At 49.9% G+C, this 20869-nt stretch overlaps 1 long non-coding RNA gene across 1 annotated transcript, besides 7 other annotated features; it reads right to left on the bottom strand.

Annotated features, from left to right (window-relative positions):
• Positions 5379 to 5879: an enhancer, noted in NCBI's record as "H3K4me1 hESC enhancer chr1:234869880-234870380 (GRCh37/hg19 assembly coordinates)". NCBI's record gives its function as "activates a minimal SCP1, AML or CMV promoter by ChIP-STARR-seq in primed H9 embryonic stem cells {active_cell/tissue: H9 hESC(primed)}" and the evidence as "EXISTENCE:reporter gene assay evidence [ECO:0000049][PMID:30033119]".
• On the bottom strand, positions 8369 to 15970 carry LINC01132 (long intergenic non-protein coding RNA 1132). Its single transcript, NR_038856.1, has 3 exons — positions 15930 to 15970; positions 14334 to 14789; positions 8369 to 11664 (listed from the first exon to the last, which is right to left on the bottom strand). It is a non-coding gene; the product is annotated as a long intergenic non-protein coding RNA 1132 (long non-coding RNA).
• Positions 9573 to 9642: an enhancer, noted in NCBI's record as "active region_2765". NCBI's record gives its function as "activates an Ori minimal core promoter by ATAC-STARR-seq in GM12878 lymphoblastoid cells {active_cell/tissue: GM12878}" and the evidence as "EXISTENCE:reporter gene assay evidence [ECO:0000049][PMID:35858748]".
• Positions 11536 to 11830: a silencer, noted in NCBI's record as "tiled region #12432; HepG2 Repressive non-DNase unmatched - State 11:FaireW". NCBI's record gives its function as "represses a minimal TATA promoter and a strong SV40 promoter by Sharpr-MPRA in HepG2 cells {active_cell/tissue: HepG2}" and the evidence as "EXISTENCE:reporter gene assay evidence [ECO:0000049][PMID:27701403]".
• Positions 13373 to 13936: an enhancer, noted in NCBI's record as "H3K27ac-H3K4me1 hESC enhancer chr1:234861823-234862386 (GRCh37/hg19 assembly coordinates)". NCBI's record gives its function as "activates a minimal SCP1, AML or CMV promoter by ChIP-STARR-seq in naive H9 embryonic stem cells {active_cell/tissue: H9 hESC(naive)}" and the evidence as "EXISTENCE:reporter gene assay evidence [ECO:0000049][PMID:30033119]".
• Positions 14500 to 15063: an enhancer, noted in NCBI's record as "H3K27ac-H3K4me1 hESC enhancer chr1:234860696-234861259 (GRCh37/hg19 assembly coordinates)". NCBI's record gives its function as "activates a minimal SCP1, AML or CMV promoter by ChIP-STARR-seq in naive H9 embryonic stem cells {active_cell/tissue: H9 hESC(naive)}" and the evidence as "EXISTENCE:reporter gene assay evidence [ECO:0000049][PMID:30033119]".
• Positions 15064 to 15626: an enhancer, noted in NCBI's record as "NANOG-H3K27ac-H3K4me1 hESC enhancer chr1:234860133-234860695 (GRCh37/hg19 assembly coordinates)". NCBI's record gives its function as "activates a minimal SCP1, AML or CMV promoter by ChIP-STARR-seq in naive H9 embryonic stem cells {active_cell/tissue: H9 hESC(naive)}" and the evidence as "EXISTENCE:reporter gene assay evidence [ECO:0000049][PMID:30033119]".
• Positions 16191 to 16753: an enhancer, noted in NCBI's record as "H3K27ac-H3K4me1 hESC enhancer chr1:234859006-234859568 (GRCh37/hg19 assembly coordinates)". NCBI's record gives its function as "activates a minimal SCP1, AML or CMV promoter by ChIP-STARR-seq in primed H9 embryonic stem cells {active_cell/tissue: H9 hESC(primed)}" and the evidence as "EXISTENCE:reporter gene assay evidence [ECO:0000049][PMID:30033119]".

The raw sequence follows: 20869 nt of genomic DNA, 5'->3' as shown, positions 1-20869 counted from the left end.
TGCATGGTGTTGAAAGAGCATGGGTTTGAAATCAGATGACCAGGGTTAAAGCTACCTACTAGCTGCCACTTACTAGCTATGAGACCTTGGGCAGATCCCTTAAACTTTTTGAGCCAGTTACATAAAATCATGACTGTGAAGTAGGTAAGACAGTGTCTGACACATAGAAACACTCATTAAATGGTAGTGAGTGGCATTGCTATTGCCGTTGTACATGACAATACCTGCTGTAATGCAGCACTAACTCTATGGAGAGCCTGTTTAAGCCCAGCTTCCCAAGTCTGACCATAAACCAAAGATGGCGTAAATGATCTTTGGCACCTGCCAAGCTTCCCTCTTGCTGATCCCGGTTGTTCCTCTGTACAGCAAAAGGGAGATGGAGAGAAGGCATGTAATTTTCTTACCAATAATCGGCTCAGCGACACTGGGTCCAACCCCCACTTATGTTGAGAGTAGGTAGGGGGGTTGCTGGCAGGCAGGGACCGGCTCCTTCTGCCTTTCCTTCCCCTCCGGCTGGCTCAAACCGGCTTTGTCATCATCATCATTACTCTAGGAAGCAGCAAGGGGCAGCAGAAGGGGCATGGCTTTGAGAGTTTCAGATCTGCTCTTTGCTAGGTGGGTAGTTTTGGACAAGACCCTCCTGCACCTCACGTTTCCCGACTGCATAGTGGACATAATACACCCTTGTCAATGGAATTCACGTGAGACATACTAGGTGCTCAAGAGAGTGTGGAAGGGCCTCAGGGCATAAGAGAACAATCCCACCCATGGGATAACCAGCACTTTTTGAATTTTTTTAGAAGGAAATTGTTAAGTCATTGAATGGGCCTTCTCCTGAAGTAGGGAGGTAGCTATCCCTAAAGGCATTCAGGAAGAAATTGGACACCCACTTAACCAATGAGATGACCAGCTCTCACTTAGGTCTCTGTCTCTAAGACCTGTGACTGCAATGAGGTTTCCTCCTCTGGTCCCCCTGACCCAAAATACCCCCTGCCCGGTCCCACCATAAACTTAACCAGGTTCTTGGCCTGGCAGAGACAGAGCTCGGCCTTCTCACAGCTGGCTTGTCTCACTCAGGAGAAGCTGTCACTGTAAAATGAAGGCACAGAAAAAGAGACATGCTCAGAGGACTCATATCAAAATATATATGTGGCCAGGCGCAGTGGCTGAATCCCAGCACTTTGGGAAGGTGAAGAGGGAAGACCACTTGAAACCAGGAGTTTGAGACCAGCCTGGGCAACTAAGCAAGACCCCATCTCTACAAATAAAATAAAATTAGCTGGGCATGGTGACATGTGCCTGTAGTCCCAGCTACTTGGGAGGCTGAGGCAGGAGGATGGCTTGAGTCCAGGAGTTGAAGGTTTATATTACACTGTGATTGCACCACTGCACTCCAGCCTGGGCAAAACAGTGAGACCCCTATCACTAAAAAAAGTGTGTATCTATCTACCTACCTGTCTATCTATCTGTCTATGATAGACCAGGAAATGTAGTCAGTCTATATTAGAGCTGCAAGGTTAAATGGAGCCATATTATGTTTGGAAGAAATGTCTGACACTGTCCTGCTTTATTTATGGAAGACAAGCTTAAGAGGCACTCTGAATGATGGACAGGTGTAAGTATAGAAAAGAAGATGAGGAAAATGTCTTCTGTTTTGAAGTGTGAGAGTTCTAGACTTCTGCCACACCTGCTGAATATACAGGGGTAGATCCAGGGGCAGGGGTGAAAAATGCATCTGTACAAAGAATGCTTCCAGAAATACAGAAAGCCTAGGCCCAAACTCACACTGCTGCTTTTCACGGCATTTCCCTGCAATTCTTTGTACCCTCCTCCCAAAGTGGCCCATCACGGGAGTGTGTTGCCGTGGCAACGTGCTCAGTGGGGAAGCCACTCAGCATTACCCAGTAATTCACATCTGTGCTTGTTTCCCTCTCTCCCTTCTCCCCTCTCTCCTCTCTCTCCTCTCTCCTGTCTCCTCTCTCTTTTTATCTGTAAATGGAAAGCAGCTTAGGAGTGATGCCGCCTTGAAGCTGACAGTTCCCGGAAAAAAGGAAGAAGTCTTTCTTTCTGGGGTCTATTTCCCCCCAGAGGTTTTTTGTTTTGTTTTTTTTTTTTGAGACGGAGTCTCCCTCTGTCGCCCAGGCTGGAGTGCAGTGGCACGATCTCAGCTCACTGCAACCTCTGCCTTCCGGGTTCAAGTGATTCTCCTGCTTCAGCCGCCTGAGTAGCTGGGACTACAGGCACATGCCACCACACCCGGCTAATTTTTGTATTTTTAGTAGTGACGGGGTTTCACCATGTTGGTCAGGCAGGTCTCGAACTCCTGACCTCGTGATCCACCCACCTCGGCCTCCCAAAGTGTTGGGATTACAGGTGTGAGCCACTGCGCCTGGCCCTTTTCTTATTTTTAAATTCCCTTCTGCCTTCCATACCAAAGCCCAAAGCAATGGATGACTGACCAGGCACACTCAAGGATGGGGCCTTTTCTGTGTGACTTTAGGGGAGGTCGGTTGGAGGAGGGGTTGCTCTGCCCCTTTGCTCCCACCCCTCTCTGCTGTCACTGAATTCTGTGGCCTTACAATCAACAGGTCCAGGTCAACCCACTCACCCCTTTTTCACCACTTTTCCTTCCTGTAAGATGAACTACCCTTACATTATAGACTGTGCCTAATGAAGCACAATCAAGGTGCCCAACCTCTCATAAAGGGTTGACCCTGTGGAAGAAGTTATTTGTAAATGCCATCAACATATGCCTAGGATGGGGCTATGATTGCAACTGCATGTTTTTCTTTCAGGAGAATCATTCGTTGGTCTGGTCTAGAGCTTGGATTATTTCATGTCTCTATACTTTTGCTCTCCTCTCTTTGCTTTAAAAAAATGTATATCAGGCCAGGTGTGGTCACTCACGCCTGTAATCCCAGCACTTTTGGAGGCCGAGGCGGGTGGATCACAAGGTCAGGGGTTCAAGGCCAGCCTGGCCAATATGGTGAAACCCCGTCTCTACTAAAAATACAAAAATTAGCCAGGGGTGGTGGTGGGCGCCTGTAGTCCCAGCTACTCAAGAGGCTGAGGCAGGAGAATCACTTGAACTTGGGAGGCGGAGCTTGCAGTGAGCTGAGATCGTGCCATTGTATTCCAGCCTGGGCGACAGAGCAAGACTCCATCTCAAAAAAAAAAAATGTATATCTTTCTTTTTTTTAAGTAAGCAATCTATTCATAGCATCAAATTTAAAATATCCAAGGAATTTATTCTGAAAAGTCTGTCTCCAATTCTCACCCCTTTCCAAGAGCCAACTGATATCATTAATTTGTACCAGAGATGCTTGACGTATTTACAAGCAAATTTGTGTATGTGCATTTCATTTTCTCTTTCCTTTGAAATATAGATTCCTAAAAAGTAGGGTTTCCGAATTTGGAAGATCCAACTAGTGAACATGCCCTGACCTGTTTTGTGTCCAATTAATTTTACCAATAAAGGCTATAATTTGTTTAGTGTGTAGACTAAGTAAGTAAATTCTTGAGTAACCACAGATTCCTTTTGTTTGTTTGTTTTAAGTTTCAAGAATCACCTTTCTCTCCTATTGTTTCTCAGGACAACAGAGGTTGCATTTATACTTTCTACCTGGCACAGAGCAGGTGTTCAGTACTATTTGTCGGGTGAAGATGGCAGGAATAGAAAAATGACAGTTCCAAATCTGAGACTGCCTTGGGTGAATCAGGATGCCTCTAACAAGTTCAAGGTGCGGCGCTGCTCTGAGGATGCAAACGGCACTGGAGAGGAGATGGGCGCTTTGCAGACTCTGGGCCCCTAGTGAAGGAGAGAACCGTGGGCGAGGAGGACCAGCAGTTTCCAGGAGGCATTCGGAATAGGGTGGGAGGGAAGAGAATCGACCAGACTGCTTATTTGGCTCTCACTGATTCTGTCCGCATTTTAGTTAAAGCTGCTCAAAATGGCTCATGTGGGCAGACGGGGCCTGAGTCAGCCAGTCAATACCATCCATCGAGTGCTCCCGGGGTACAGAGCTCAGAGCTCGGAGCTGTGGAGCCAGAAATAAGGCATGTACGATTCAGTTCTTCCCCTGAGGAGCTGAGAATCTGAGAGAAAGAGACAAGACAGATTTGCTCAAAAAAGACGCAAAGCCCATTAACACACAAACATGGAAACAAGGAGCTTGCCTGGTCAGTCATCCATTGCTTTGGGCCTTGGTATGGAAGGCAGAAGGGAATTTAAAAACAAGAAAAGATTGCAGCAACTTGGATGAACACACAGGCCAGGCCCGCGACAAGCTTCCTTCTCTTGCTTTGCTTTTGGAAAGGCGAGCAAAACGCCTCTGACGTATTCCCATACGCCCAAGCTGCACGGACGACCGTGATGGAGCTGCTCGAAGGGTGGGGGGAGGATTCAGGCTTTGCAGAAGCAAGGCTGGGAGGGACTCTCTCTGAGTGCCGCTAGCTGTGTGATCTTGACGTATTTCTAGAGCTGTCTGAGCTCGCTGTCCTCATTCGTAATATGAGCACAATCCCCACATCTTACAATAGTGAGATTAGAGGATGCAAAGTACCTGCCCAGTGCCTAGCATAGCTATGGTGGCTGCCCAGTGAGTGATAGTATTTCTTGTTGTTATTATTCTAACCTTCATTTTAGTCTCTCACCCCCGGCCAGAAGTCCGTGCAGAAAGAGCCTGGCTCCTCTACTGCCTCCCCTTCTTCCAAGTCTCAACTTTGGACCCAGCCTGCTGTCTCCGGTCATCAGGGCTGCCCACCAGTGAGGAGGCTTGGGCATATTATCTACTGCCACTCAACTCCCAGTGCCCAGCATCGGGGACACCAGGCCAGGCCACGTGGGAGGGTCCTTGCTCCAAGTTCTGTCCCTGGAGCCTCTATGCTGAGGGAGATGAAAGGAAGAGCCAGGAGATGGAGCCAAAGGTCACAAGCCAGGAAGCAGCCGCGTGGTCTGCACGTAGAGATGGGTGGGCGGGAGCAGGTGAGACCGGGAGTGGGAAGAACTGAGAGTCAGGAAGCCTAGAAGTCACCATGTGGCCCAGACTGGAGCGAGGCCAGGGAAGCTTCTGGTAAGATGTGTCTTTTCTGGGAGGTCCAGAAGGCCAGCAGGTGGCCATTTAAGGACAGATGCAACTGAGGGGTGTGCCAGGATTGACGGGGCCCATCCTTGAAGATAATGTGGGGTAAGCAGAATGAAGCTGTTTTGTTGATTTTCTGACCACTGCCCACGACTGGCCTCCTGTCCTGAGCTGCCCCTCACCCCTCCCCGAACCACTGGTCTTCCGCCAGCACCCGACAGCCTTGTCTCGATCCAGCAGCTGGAATGATCTCTTTGAAACCTGAAGCGGATGTTGTCCTGGTTCACAAACTTCCAAGGGCTCCTGTTGCTCAGCCTGAAAGCTGCAGTCCTCCCCATGGCCTCCGAGTCCTCCCCTGGGCAACCCGGACCTGGTCACCCCCCATTCCCATGTCATCCACTGCCACTCACCACCCACTCGCTCTCCCCTCCAGCCAAGTGCCCCGCCCCCGCAGGCTCAGACACCCCAGAGCTGTCCCACTCAGAGTTGGCCGATCCTTGTGCCTACGATTCTCATCCCTGGAGATCCATGTGGCTCGCTCCCTCGCCTCCAGAAGTCTCTGTTCAGCCGTCACCTTTGCCAAGAAGCCCACCCTTCACATGGCTTAGAGCTGTGCCCTTCCTCACCCCACCTCTCTCCATCCACTCTACTCCATTTCATTTAAAAAGCACTTGTCACCTTCTAACAAACTCATTTAATTTTTAAAAATCTAATACACGTTTGGCCTGGTGCAGTGGCTCACGCCTATAATCCTAGCACTTTGGGAGGCTGAGGCAGGCGGATCACCTGAGGTGAGGAGTTCGAGATCAGCCTGGTCAACATGGTGAAACCGTGTCTCTACTAAAAATACAAAAAATTAGCCGGGCATGGTGGTGTGCGCCTGTAATCCCAGCTACTTGGGAGGCTGAGGCAGGAGAATCACTTGAACCTGGGAGGCAGAGGTTGCAGTGAGCCAAGACCACGCCACTGCACTCCAGCCTGAGTGACAGAGCGAGACTCCGTCTCGAAAAAATATATAAAATAAAATAAAATTAAAAACAATAAAAAAAAACCTTTGTCTGTCTTCCTTCCCAGAATATAAGCTCCATAGGGCAGTGACTTCATTTTATTCACTGATATACTCCAAGTGCCTAGAACCGTAACTTGGCACATAAGAGGCAGTCAATAAACCTTTGATGAATGAGTGGGTATTATATTATTACAACTACTATGACTACAGCCACTGCCACCACTACTAACGGGCTTGGTCACCCAGGCTGGAGTATAGTGGTGCAATCATAGCTTACCATAACCTTGAACTCCTGGCGTCGTGCGAGCTTCCTGTCTTAGCCTCCCAAAGTGCTGGGATTACAGGCATGTAATCCTGTAGTCCAGTGTCCACTGCGCCCAACTCCTGAAGACCATTTTGATGACCTGCTATGTACCAGGCTCTGTGGTGGGGGATTTAACATGAGTTTCAAGCACAACTCTGTGATGCAATCCTTGCCACATTTGACACATGAGGAAACTGAGGCTCAGGGGCGTTCAGCCACTTAACCAGAATGTCTGAGTTAGAAAGTGGCTAAGACAGGACTTGAACCCAGGTCTGCCCAAATTCAGGGCCTGTGGTCTTTCCAGTCCAGCGTCTCTGCCTCCAGTTGGATGTGGGCAGGCTCTGTGGTAGAAGTGTCCTTCAGGGATGGCATGGGGGGAGGCACTGCCTGGGTCCACCGATGGGGCTCCCCGGTGAACTGCACACCAGGGGTGTTGCTGAGGCAGGTGACCAGCATCCCTTGCGGCAGTGATGGTCGGCGGAGCCCACTGTCGGAACCCTCGCCCTCCCCAGGACCAAGAATGCTCCTCCTCACCATCTCCCTGCCTGCCCTGGACTCCGCTGAGAACACCTTCTCCACATAACAATCAAAGGATCTCTAAAAATTGGTAACCAAACCCATCACAGCTCTTTGAGCCCTCTAGCCGTCACCCATCCTGCTCTGAAAAGCCACTGAAAGTCTTTCCCATACGCATGAGGTCCTCTAGGCTCTGGCCCTGCCTGCTCCCGTCTTTGTCTGCTTTGCTCCCGGCTCTCCGCCCTCGCCCACCCTTTTGGCTCCTCACACAAGCTAGGCTCATTCCTGCCCTGTGGCCTTGGACCAGCTGCTCCCTCCTCCTGGAATGCCACTCCCCAGGTCTCACAGAGATGGCTTCTCTTAAGCTTGAAGATCACCTCTGCAGAGAGACCTCGGCTGACTGCCCAGGTGCCCTCTCCTGTCCTGTCTTTTTCGTTAGAGACAGTCTCACTCTGTCGCCCAGGCCGGAGTGCAGTGGTGCGATCATAGCTTCTGCAGCCTCGAACTCCTAGATTCAAGCGATTGTCCTGCCTCGGCCTCCTGAGTAGCTGGGACTACAAGCGCATGCTGCCATGCTCTGCTCATTTTTTAAACTTTTTTGTAGACATGGGGTCTCACTATATTGCCCAGGCTGGTCTTGAACTCCTGGTCTCAAGTGATCCTCCCTCCTCGGCCCCCCAAAGCTCTGGCATTACAGGCGTAAGCCACCATGCCCAGCCTCTCCTATTCTCTTCTGATTCTCTACAGAGCAGTTCTCACCATGCACTATTTCCTAGTTGACTTAGGTGGTTATTCATTTGGTTCTTGGATTCTACCCACTAGACTGTGAGCTCCCTGGGAGCAGGTACTTTGTCCATGTTCATGGCTGTCTTCATGCCTGGAGAGGGCCAGGTAGAGGGTGGGTGCTGATTAACACCTCTCCAGAGAGCCGGTGACTCCTGGTTTGAGGCAGAGATGGACCATGTGGGCACAAGGGAGAGTTAGATTCTGCAGGGAGGTTATCCTTGGTGGCCTGGAGCAGAAACAGCACCACATTGGCCAGGTCCTGGGAAGGATCTGAGTGCACAACCAAAGAAGTCTGCTTTCTACCAGGAGACCCGGAGATGCCAGAGAAAGCCCGAGGGGGCCAGAACCAGAAAGATTTGGGAACATGGCAGTCGGGACTAGCCAGGGTGGGGATGCTGGCATGTGAGCGACTGGGCCGCAGCCATCAGCCTCCTGTGCGTGGCTGTGTGTGCTGGTGGCTCAGGTCCACATCCCAGCAACTTCCTGTTCCAATGCCCTCACACACATACACCCTCCGCCACCTCAGGAAGCACCAACAGAATGCTTCTCCATTTAAAATTCAAACTTACTGTCTACGTCGCTGTTTTTTTTCTAACTTTGTGAGTGTTTTTCCTAATTACCAGTTGGGTTTTAATGAATCTAATGAATCATGTAGATATAAACACAGCATATACAAATACACCAGTTCTTGCATTTATTCACAAGTGAATATGCGAGAAAGAATGATTGTTGGATTCTCATTATTTGTCATCAGTTGAGGCCGTGGGCCTGGGTCATTGTAAAAGTATGACTCAGTACCAGGGAAACACTGTACTAGCTTTGACTAGTCTCTCTTGTTCTTTTTAGGGTTTTTTTTTTTTTTTTCTGCTCCTGCTGGCACTACTGCATTCCCCTTTGATGGTGAAAGAATGAGATCAATGAAGGTACCAGAGAATTTATCTGGCAGGATCTTCTCATCTTCCTCTTTACCAGTTGTCAGAACTTGATCTGATTTGCAAACCTGGAGGATGGACAGGTGTCTTGTTTGTTTCTGGTGGTTCCTTTTGTTTTATCTTCATGTTTCTGGTGGTTGGGTTTTGAACGTCAGCCTGTGGAAAGAATGCATCCTTCCTTGACTGAGATGAGAGCGCTTTGAAAATTGTAAAGCGCGCACATTGTCAGTAGTTTTGTTGTTGTTGTTATTGGTTCCTTCCTCCAGACAGGGGCCTGGTTCCTGCTCTATTCCATCTTCTCTGCATTATAAGATCCTGAGCTTTAGACCATCCACCCCAGGGTCTGTGCATCTGTAGGAGAAGTGAATCTGTGGCTTCCCCTGCCCATGCTGGGAAGCCCCTGAGCTCCCTGAGGTTGCAGGTGCTCTGGGGCCTGCAATTTGGTGAGCCTGTGCCATAAGCCGCCCCTGGAGGGAGCAGAGGCAGAAACACTTCAGTTTATCTCCAATGCACAAAGTCCTTATCTCAGAAGCCACAACTCCCTGGCCAGGATGGGATCCAGGTTCCTGGACTGTCACTTAGCTAATCCACAATTGTCCAGAAGTAGCCTCCAAGATGTCCTGAAATGTAGCTTGAGCTGGCTCTGTAGGAGCTGGTGCAGCATGGAGGTCCCTCCTCCCCTCTTCCCAACCCCACTGCTGCCTTGGAGAGGCTGACTCTTAGGTGGAGCAGAGTCTGTCCTGGGCCAGGCAGAACACAGTTGCTGCAACCTGATGTGCAGGTGTTGCAATAAATGTCTCTGGGGTCACTGCAGACAAGGACCGACTGTATACCTGGTGGGTCTCAGCAGGAAATCCCTCCTGGAGACTAGGCACTCTTCCCCTTCATCAATTGTCATATTTACAAATCAGAATGATTCCAGAGTGTCAAGACCTGCTGTCTCCATCTCTTGTCTTGACCCCACTAACTAGATTGTGACCTCTCTAACATCACTTCCCCTTTGCTGTGGCTTCATATAGAGTTAACGGGCAATAAACATGCATGAAGTGGACACAAATCTCTGCAGCAGAAACCAGCCTGTGACTTTCTTTGGAGCCACGTCACCTGCCTAAACTAAATTCCAGCAGACACAACACAGACACTCAGGGGATCTGTGGCTTAAGGAACAGGGGCTGGGGCCTGGCATTAGCCAGATGCAGCGGCAGGGTGTGTATTTTCCAGCGTGCTCATCCTAATCCACCGAAGGGTGTTCCTGGGGCACGCAGGGGATGCCACGTAGACTTCAATAGACGGCTTTTATTCTTATGCTTGATACTTCCTGCAGTTTTATGTTATCTCGTGCAGTTATAAGGAGATGGAGATAATATGCATGTTTGCCTTCTTCTGATTATGTACAGTGTCATTTCGCCAAAAATCTACACCAGCCACAAGGATACATTTTGGCTGAATATTACAGACTTTTCTCATTATCTTAAAAAAACAAAAAACAGAAAAACCTAACTAACTTCTCTACTGTTATCGCACATAAAGTGATGTAAATGTGTGTGCCATTGCAATAAAGTCACAGTGAGCAGAATTAAACGCTGCAGGTTTGGGCCATGACTAAGCAGCATGACTGAATGGGGCATTTTCTGGTCTGCTTGCAGGCCCTTTCTTCGCTGGGATGGTGGATGGCTCGGTGAGACATCAGAGAGCAACTGCTCAGGTGGGTCTGCGTGGCCCTGAGACTGTTCACATTTTCAGCCATCTTTAAGGCTCAGCTTGCTTCTTGAGAGGCAGGAATTGGGAGCCCGCTGCGAGGACTTCCCTGAGTTCAGACTGCGCAGCTCAACTCATGCCTTTCAGGGGCTCATCCATTCTGCTGATGAAGAATAGATGTTTGGCACTTCCAACAAGGCCGTGTGTCTTGCCTGGTTCTACGAAGACACTGGGGGAGATGTCCTAAAATGCAGCCCCTGTTCTCAAAGAGCTCACTGGGTGAAAAGCTTGACATAGGGAGGCAACACATGAGCCTTAAGTCACTTAAGTCACGCTTGAGCATATCTCTGCAAATCTGTGGAAGAGATGGATCAACTAAGCCCTCAGTCCAGTAGTGCAGATGTGGAGAGGGCAGCCATGCTCTGGTAGAGTTCCTGAGTGCTTCCTGTTTTGGAATGCGGTGGCGTCTGGCCTCCTCACTGTTTGTTCAGCATGCATTACCATGCATTACCATGGGTGATTAGTAATTTAAAATTTTTATCTCCTGTAGCTCTCACACTTGACGGTGGAATCATCAAATGCTTTAGCGATGCCATCGGCCAAAATGGGGAAATCGAGGCAATCAGAGACGTACGTGACTTGTTCAACATCTCCAGGCTCCCCATTCATCCAGCGGCTTGAGAAGCCAGCCTTTGGCTAGCAGGAAGAATAGACAGGCCCTGGCACCACATCAGTGGCCCCGACACCTCAGGGAAGTCCATTCAGTGAGGCCTTCATTTGGGTCTCTAGACCTCACGCCCCCCCCGCCCCCGTGCAGGCAGGTGAGGGTCTTGTCCCAGGATTATCACGAACAGGCAGGTGAAAGCACTGGGTGACATGAGCACAGATTTATGCACCAGGACTCACTCTGTGGCAAGAAAGAACACTGCTGCTCTTAGCAATACATACAGAAGGACCAGGAAGCAACCTAAGAATCAGTGCCTGGCTTGCGGTCACAGGAGATACTTCTACTGCCATTCTGGCTTGGGCTTCTTTGGAGAAGGAGCCAAGGCCTGCAAGGGTTTTAAGTGGCCCCTGCAGGTTCACTCTGACCCACCTCAGAGACGCCCCCACAACACCCAGCGCCCTGCAGGAGGAATCTAGAGACTTAGGGTCTAGGCTCAACATTGCCACTCATTAGCTCTATGGTCTTGGCCATGTCAACCTAAGTTGAATGGCGGCCACAGCCCTGTGGCCTTCCAGGATGTCATGAGGTATCCACATGGCCTTACACACATGGGTGGCAGAGCTCTTCCTCTCTGTCTTGCAGTGGGAGGCCTTGTTGCAATGGGAAACAAGCTGTAGAGATAAAAACAATGAACCTGTTGACTAATCCTAGAAACGTCCAGATGGAATACATTTTTTTTTTTTTTGAGACAGAGTCTCACTCTGTCGCCAGGACAGTGGCGCGATCTCGGCTCACCGCAACCTCTGACTCCCTGGTTCAAGCGATTATCCTGCCTCAGCCTCCCGAGTAGCTGGGATTACAGGCACGCGCCACCACGCCCAGCTAATTTTTGTATTTTTAGTAGAGACGGGGTTTCACCGTGTTGGCCAGGCTGGTCTCAATCTCCTGACCTGGTGATCTGCCCTTCTCGGCCTCCCAAAGTGCTGGTATTACAGCTGTGAGCCACTGTGCCCGGCCAGAATACATTTAAATCAGACTATCCAAAGACCCACTGATGTGTGCAGCCGCTGATCTACCTTGTACCAGGAAGATGCAAGATACAGCATGTCATATCACAAACATTCAAACATTAGCCAGGCTCCCAAGTCTCTTAAAAATCCTCACAACCAGTTTCCTCGGTGACAGTTTTTCAGATCACCTCTCTTAGAAACAGCTGGAGAGTAGATTAGGGCCCAGCTGATTTTGCAGGCTCCTAAATACTTATTTGGGTCCTCATATGGCAAGAGCTTCCCATCTCCTGCAGCAATCGTCAAACTCTCCAAACCCCTCTGGGTGGAGCTATAAAGACCCTCTTCATGCAAACAGCCTGTCCTGAACCCCAGCAGCCCTGGGAGTCCAAGGACACTGAAGGAGACTGCGATGAGATGGCTGTGCAGATGGGAGGGCGGGGGCCTGGGAACAGCAGTGCCTTACGGCGTTCTCCTTATACCCCCTGTGGTTCAGGCTTGAGCTCCAGGAAATAAAGAAGAATGCTTATGTCCATTAAGGCAGCAGCAGTGGCGTGGAGGCCCTGCATCTGAAGTTAGTGTTCTCTGATGGTGATCAGCCCTTGTATCTTTCACCAATAAGAAAACAGGGCTCTGGACGCCATGAAATCCCTGTTAGAGCCTCATCTTCCTTCCTGACCCTTGACTTTCACTAACATACAAAGGCCACTCTTCAGCAACAGGGCTAGTGACTGGTTTCACTTGTCTTTCTACAAAGAGAAGTATTTTAAATGCTTTCTATTTGTGGCCAACAAGCCCTGTGATGACTAACAGCAAAGGTGGAATCTCTCTGTATATTGATTTTTAGTGCAGGCTTAATGTCTGTATGTAATTATTTTTACCATGCAGGTGAAGCAAGAAATTAAATTGAGTTTTTTAATGAGGGGGAAAAACCAGCATTAGAAATGAAAGATCACAGGAGAAATTGAGCAGGTCACCTGTTTGCAAATAGTTTCTGCTTTAGGTCTCTGTTACTGAAAATACACTTCCCCTGCCCCCTTCCCCCACACCCTACGGATCTGCTGTTGCTTTCTTTGGGTTTCTCAGGAAAGAAAAGTCTCCTAGGATCCTCCTCTTCAGTCTGCCTGACAAGCCTAAAAGGAAAGCAACATTCCTGTGTAAGGGAGGGTCATGGGTTTTCTGCAGTTTCATGCATACTCCATCCAATTCATGGATCTTGAGGCTGGGGGAGCTCCTGGAGCAACCAAATTCATATCCTCAGGGCCGGATGAAACCATCACGCAGCGATGCTGGGAGGCGTACACGAGCTGCCCCGCTTCCCCCTGAGAAAACAGCCTGTTCCTTCTTCAGCTTGCCCTTCTCCACTTACAGGCTATGAGAGAGAACACTGGAACTCTGAAAACAAGGCCCAGGGAGTCGGATTTCCACCCAGGTCGAGATAGGAAGGAAGGGCAGGCCCAGACATCCCCGCCAGAGGCTGCTTTTCCAGGCAGTACCTGGGAAGACAAGCTAAGCCAATGAGAGGCTGTTGGGTTAGGCTCAGACATGCTGTGCCCCAGTGGACACCAAGCCGCCGAACTCAGTGTTGCTTCTAGAAGGTCACCAGGGGCTGGGAATGAAGGACGGGGATGTGGCTCAACCAGGCCCTGACCTGAGCATCAGCTCCAAAGTCAGTAGCCCTCTCTCACTCTGGGTAGCTGCTCCAGCAGACTCTAGGAGGCTGCTCCTGTGTCTGATGTGAGAGATCCACTTGCCCTTGGTTTTGAGTCGCAGGTTAAGGAAAGGGGACAACCGCCATATCAAGTTCTACTTCCAAACCTGAGCCTCTTCTGAAGAAACTGAAGTTCGTTTTTGGATCAATTCTGCCCAGCAACAAGTTTTTATTTGTACTGCCTCAACAACCTGAGGCAAAAGTGTGCCCCTGTCTGGCCTCCAGCTCCCAGTATCCCCTGGCTCTGCCAACCTCTGGGGACCCCAAGCCTGTGGGTCCTGTTTGTATGGGAACTGGTACACGTTTCTCCCCTCCTCTGCTCCTTTCAGCTCTCCTCGGCCATGTCCTCAGCACAGGTGTCAGCCAGGGTGTGTGGGGCCCGGGGAGGCAGGGAAGGACTGGGCATTCCAGCCAGCAAGGGCGGGAATGGGTCTGCTTCGCAACATCCCCAAAGGAGGTCAACCAAGTCCCCTTGCCCTCACTCCAGTAGGGCCCTCTTTGCTTTAACTTAGTGCATACCCAACTCTGAGCTGGGAATGCCTCCTGAGAAAGGCAGCCAAGGCCTGTGATAACAGCAGGGAGGAGCATGAGGAGGGATTTCTGGGGTCCATCTCTTACTCACCCATGTTTCCCTCCACGACCTTGACCCTCCTGGTGGCTCTGTCCTCTCCCTGGACATGGGACACAATCATGTACACTCTGGAAAGGCCAAGGAGGGCTGTTCAGAGGGCCAGCTGTGGTCCATCTGAAGGTGACAATTTGCCAATTTGTTTTACAGGAAGGCTGCCATGGGCCTCACAATAGCAGTCCCTGCTTCCGCCTTTCTGTCATCTTCCAACTAAAGAGGCCAGGAAATGGCCGAGTCAGCTCCTGCTGCAGCACCTCCTAGAATCAGAAAAGGCCTTTCCGAGAATCTTGCTGAACCCTGAGGGTGAGGAGTGTCAGATTTTGCAGCGGGGGGAAGCTGGCAGTGGAGCCTCCACTTCTAAGTAACCTTTGCTTCGGAAACCTGCCAACTCTCTGCCTGGAGACTTGCCTTTGATCACGACTTGTCACCTTTCAGGAGATGTTCCACTTTCTAAGCAGGTGAAAAATGAACCTGATTAAAAATAGGGAACTGGACTCTTCACAGAGTCCCCCTGTAAAGCCAAACTACTGGCTACACCTCCAAGGGGGAAAAGGGAACATCCCTGTCCCTCAGGTCCCAGGGCTCCGTGGGACCCAGGACCCCCGAACAGCCTGCAACCCTACGACGACGGCCTGGCCATGCTCCAGCAGCAGGCAGAGGCTTGGGCCACAGCCACGTACTGGCTCCTGCTCGCTGGGTTCACCTTGGTGACCAGAGGGCACTGTGACCGCCCATTCTCCTCCCTCCCTTCCTCCTCCCCTCAGTGCTTTATGGACCTGAGTTTCTGGAGCTTTCTCAAAACCGTGGACACGTTCCCAGTGGAAATCATGACATTTTCCGTTTCACATTACGCACTCCACAATGCCCCAGGAAGGGAGAGAGAGAGGGAAGGAAAATAGGGCCTGGGAGCCAGCCCCTCTCTGTCTGCAGCCAGGGCTGCTCGCTGCTCTGTTTATCCTGGAGTCACCTCCCTCCCGAACTTGACAGCCAGTGCCCCAGTGTTTTCTTCTGCAGTCAAAGGCCCCGATGAATAGGTGAACTGCCTTTTCTATCTGCTCATGTGGCACATCTGGATAAAGGCGTGCCTCTCTACTTTGTTGTGTTTTTTTAAAACTTTACTTTCCACTGCCATGGTAACTGCTGCATGTTTGGCAGAGGGAAAGAGGAAAAAAAAAAAAAGCTCGGAGAGAAGAAAAGGAGCTCTCAGCGCGGGGCTGGCGGCCGTCCAGGGTAATCATGCCGCAGAGCTGAAATGAGGCCTCTGGCGGGCAGCCAAGTTACAAAGAACAAAGCTGTCAGTTCCTAATGTTGGCGGCAATGCTTGTTTGGCACCCTTATATGGTTTCCCAGAACTCCCTGCCTTGGCCGCCTTCCATTCCCTTCAGGGCAGCAAACAGGATTAGCACAGCTCCGAGTTGTTTTTCTCCTCTCTCCTCCAACTGTTCCAATGACATCATCCCTGCTGCATTCATTTGCCAGCAGGGTGGTTTTTTTCTCTCTCTCTCCACCTCCCTCCTCCCTTCCTCCCTCCCTCTCCCTCCATTTCTCTCTCTCTCTCTCTCTCACACACACATCTCTACTCCCACTCACTTCCTGTAGCCTCCCCCTCGCCTCTGACTTTCTTTAAATGCAATGTTTTAGGTCATTCTTCTTGTCCAGCTTCTCTGTTAAATTAAAAACACCCTAGTGCTTGTACATTTAGCTGAATCAAGCCAGACGCTGTATTTTATTTTTATAACTGAATTCCTGTGAGATAAAAATCTCATTTTCCTTAGTAGGCTGTAATCAGCACTCACAGGGATGTGGTTTCCAACTGCCCCAGCTCGTGCTTCCTTATGAAGCTCCGCTGAGAAATGAACTTGGCTCCTGTTCAGGTTTAAAGGGCCCGAGGCCGGTCACACATTGCTCACTCATACACACACACACACACACACACACACACACACACACACAGAGGATGTGCACACAAAGACCATTATACATGTATGCACACACACATGGACACACGTTCTTGTCCAGGGAAGCCCCTACGGTTCCACACACGAAGAGCAAAAAAGTATTCCCTGAGACAGACAGACACACAATCAGTACCCAGTGTCATTCTTCCCCTTTCCAGGAGGAAAATAGGTGAATAAGTCAAGCTGAAAGCTGCTTCCGAAAAGACTGTTTTAAACTAGCAGGCAGGCCAGCGTTATGCAACTCATGGCTAGGTTCATTAAAGGAATCGAGGTTTGCCGACTGCACAAATGTTCCCCTGCCTGCCTCCGCCCCAGCCCCTCCACCCCACCCTGCTCTGATTCATGAACTAGTTTTCAGATTCATGAATCACTCGGGAGCCAGCAAGAGAAAAATGAGTAGTATTGATCTCATTTCAATTGAAATGGGCTCATTAAGGCCATGCTGGCTGTGGACGGCCTTGCACGACAAGACGCTGGCCGGCGTCCGAGGTCTGCAGGCGGGCGCCCGAGCCTGCGGGTGGGACAGGACTCCTTGGGTGAAGCCTCCGCGGAGGGTGCCCCTTCTTATTATTATTAAATGGACACAATATGATCTACTGGTACAAGGGACTCTGGCTGCACTCCGCAGCCCTCGTTGGGCAGGCCGGTTTTCTTCTTTTTGTGTGGCCCGTTTATTTTGTTATTTTTTTTCACAGTTAATGGAATCTCAGTGCAGTTTCGCTCCTGGATTTCTGGTGACTCTTAAGGACTACCTGAAGTAGGAATTCACCTTCTGAAACAACTGGCATATCTTGGGGTTTGTTTGTTTTAACGCAAACAAGGAGCTTTTTACTCTTCTCCCTCCAGACCTCTGCCTTGCCACCCTCCTTGTACCGTCTTCAGCGAGAAGGACTAGGGGCTAGGAACCATCTAGACTTGGAGTAATCTAATTTATGTGGGGAAAATTTCTCCACCAACTGGATGGCTGCCTTCACGTGGACACCGGTTTTATAAAACCACTCTTTCCCTTCCCAAATGAGAATAATGGTTGAGGAAGCAGCAACAGAGCCTGGGTGCAGAGACATCACAGAGGGAGGCGTTAGGCCCCTGGGGCAGATGTCGCAGAGGCCGCCCACGAAGGAGCTCTCTTCTCTCCCACTGCCTTTCCTCTCCCCACTTGAGTTCCAGCTCCCTCTTGACACGAGCTCCCCTCCCCTTTCCAGCCCTTCGCCTTACACTTGTCCTCATGTCTGGGGAATCTTTTCCTCTTCCTCTCTACAACACCGGTTGGGCACCGTGTGTGAGCAGATCAGGAGAGGCTATTAGCTTTGATTTGCAGCTTCCAAATGGATTTTTGCATGGTTTCTTCCTCCAGCTCCTTCCACCCCCACGCCAGCCCTGGGAGATTAAAAACAATGGACTGGACACATGCTTTTCAGAAAACCCAAAAAGCTGTCAACCAACACCACAGAAGGATTCCATCCTAAGAGGCATACTTTTGGATCCAAGAGTTTAGAAATGAGATTCTTATCCATTGACTTCAGAGACACCGTCATGCATTAGACGCATTTCCCTTGGCAGGGATTCGACGAAGTGACCTTACTCCCCTTTGTTCCTGCAGTGCCCGGAGAAACTGGGAATGACCCAAAGAAGGAAAAGGAAGGTGTGTTTGTGTGAATTTCAATCAGCAATTGGTTCAGAGTCAAGAAGAGCTGTTTTGCCTTCCGTGAGGTCTGTCTGAAGGTGCCTTTCAGCTCTGAGCTGCCCGAGCATTCTTGGGCTGAATCTGCAGTCAACCGGAGCCCTAGGCCTGCCGCTCCCCCGTGGGTTAAAATCACTCCCACAGATTTGCTGGCTGGCCTTAGAGCAAATGGGGATAGTGGGTTGGCTCAGGTTTTGCATTAACTCGTCTGATATTTTCCACTGCAGCCTCCCATTCTGTGATAAAGCTAAGTTGCTAGGAAAGCTTTATGTAACACCCACCCAGCCTCAGCTTCTCAGAGAAGCAAGTGTTGTTTCCAGAGTTCCCCATAAACCTGGCAGCACATCAAAACCTCTGTTTCATAACAGACTAGAAATAGGATTTTCTAATAACATTCCAAGGACTGGACTTATCGTGCAGGGATCTGCACTTTTATGAATTGTTAATGGTTAACTAAACAAAGACCCCCAGCATACCCAACCTGCTATCTCTGGGGTCAGGATGGGAAGGGAAGTTGGAAGAATGTGGTTTCTACATCCACAATCTGTTGGTTAGTGACCCAGGGCCCTTTTCAAAGAATTTGCTCAATAATCTCAAACATATTGGAGGATCTTATTCATGTTTTTAAAAAAGAAAAAACTACCTCCTTCCTGCTTCTCCCTTCATTCATGGAGAATGTGGTTTCCTTTTATTTTGTTGCCAGACACACTGACAGTTATGGATTTAACCCCCAGCTTTCCTCTGGGAGAGGGCAGCTTTCTTCCAGACACACCTAGATTTGGGGGATCCAAATATCTTCATGCAATAGACAAACCACACATTTCATACTCCCCTCCCAGAATCGTGGGTTGACAGAGTGATTACAGAGAGAAGGGAGCATGAGGTTGCCACGTCCCTCCTCCCTCACACCCATGTGCTCCTCCCGAGATGCGGTCCACCCCATCTCATCCGATTCTGGTTTAGATTATCACAGGGATGGGAGTTCCCTCGAAAAGGCCATTTGCAGCCTATTTAGATGTCACTTAAGAAACTTCTTCCTAGGATTCCAACGGCATGTCCCTTTGTTCCGTGTCGTCACGTTGTCCCCGCTGGCGTGGCGGTTCCTCCCTTCCTGGCTCTTCCCTGCCCTCCTTGTGCAGTAAGCACGTGGGCATCACTTCAAAGCAAAAGGAGCCCTTGTCCATCACTGTTGAGGTGAGGAGGACCATCACCAAAGCCCCAGGACAGGGTAACTGTGGAAGGCAGGGGCTCAGCATTAGCAAGGCTGACCTTAGGGACAGCCTGATGGCAGGTAGCTGCCTCTGGGCGAGCATGAGCTGCCTTAAGAGGATACTGTTGTGTGGGCTCTCCCTCACTCCTTCCTATGACCCCCCATGCCCTCAACATTCTTCCCTGGGTGCGCTCTCTGGGCTCACCTGGACAATCCATGGGAGCACCTCATTTCCCTGACCAAGACCTAAGCTTTCGTCCAGCTAGAACTGCTCTGCCCCTTCCCTGCACGGCCCTCAGCTCTGCGCACCCTGTAATGTCCCTTTTTTTCAGCTTAATTATCATCTCTCCCTCGCCCCAATCTCCTCAAATAATTCTGCTTGGTAAATCTCTTCTAGCTTCTTGCTTTGGAATATTGGCTCCCAGAGGTTCCAACTGTGGCCTTTCCAGGGCAGGTCTTACGTGGTCATTTCTTCCGTGGCTGTCCACATAATTTCCTCCATCCAACTGGCGTTTGCAACATCTTCCCATTTAGTTTCATTTGAATTTGATTTACCAGTTTCTTACCCTTTCTTCTGGATTATTAGTAAACATGAAAAAGGAAAGGCTCCCCTCTCACCAGGGCTGTCCCTTGTGTCCAGCTGAGCCCTCAGGAAGAAGCCCCATTCCCCATGACCTGCACACCAGCCCTCGATGTGAAACGACTCCAAGGAAACTGCAGTCAGAGTGGGCTTCCCTCACCAGGCTGAGATTTCATATCCTTGAGATCAATTTAGTGCCTGGACACCTGGTTGCTATGGGGATGGTTGTCATGAAAAACACACCAATCTGTAGAGAGATATAAAATGGATCCCGGTGGTACACACTCGGGCATTAGCTTTGAGAAATGGCTTGCTGCTTATCACTTTCTTTTGTGGACACAGTGCCTCTGCTTTTCAAATTCAACCTGGGTGACCTTCTTAGAACCAGGCCAACACAAATCCATTTTCAGTTATTTCCTAAGGGACAATCAAGGGCTTCCCCAAATGCCAGATGCCCCCTGTCTTCCTGTCCCGAGCTGAGTCAGCTGAGAAGAAGAGGACATTCTTTTCTGGCACGGTTTGTTCTTTACTGACTGCCATTGATCCATTAGCAAAACAGCAGGCAGAACAAAAATACTGACCCTGACAACGCTTCAGATCAGGTGGCTCCGATGAGTGACAGATGTTAGCAGGAGACCTTGGATGCACTGCCCAGTTTGCAGGGGCAGAAGCTGAAAGGGACACCAGAGACCAATTCAGGACACAGCATAAACCTGCATCAGGACTGGGTGATTCAGCAAGGTGTTAGCTCAGGGCTGGGTAATTCAGCAAGAGACACTGAAAAGATGTATAGGGGTGTTCATTAACCTTACCTCCTCTCCCTCCACATTCTCAAAACTTGCATTTGGTTACTACTTGCTGAAGGTCTGTTTCTCCCTTGGTCTGGCTTATTTGCAGAAACCAGTAAAACATTTCATGCATCTCTCTTGGGCATAGACCTAGACTCCACGGCTCTGGAAGGGTAAAGGGGCAGACACTGGTTCATTTTGCAATTCACAAAGAATAGCTGGAGGCCTTCTGACATTTGCTCGGGGTAAGGGTTGAAAGAGTGGTTTGGTGTTCCGATTTTAAGCTGTGCCATTGGCTAAGTGTAACTTGGAG

The sequence above is a fragment of the Homo sapiens genome, chromosome 1, assembly GCF_000001405.40.
Source record: "Homo sapiens chromosome 1, GRCh38.p14 Primary Assembly".
Classification (NCBI taxonomy): Eukaryota; Metazoa; Chordata; class Mammalia; order Primates; family Hominidae; genus Homo; species Homo sapiens.
This window is presented reverse-complemented; position numbering and strand designations above follow the sequence as displayed.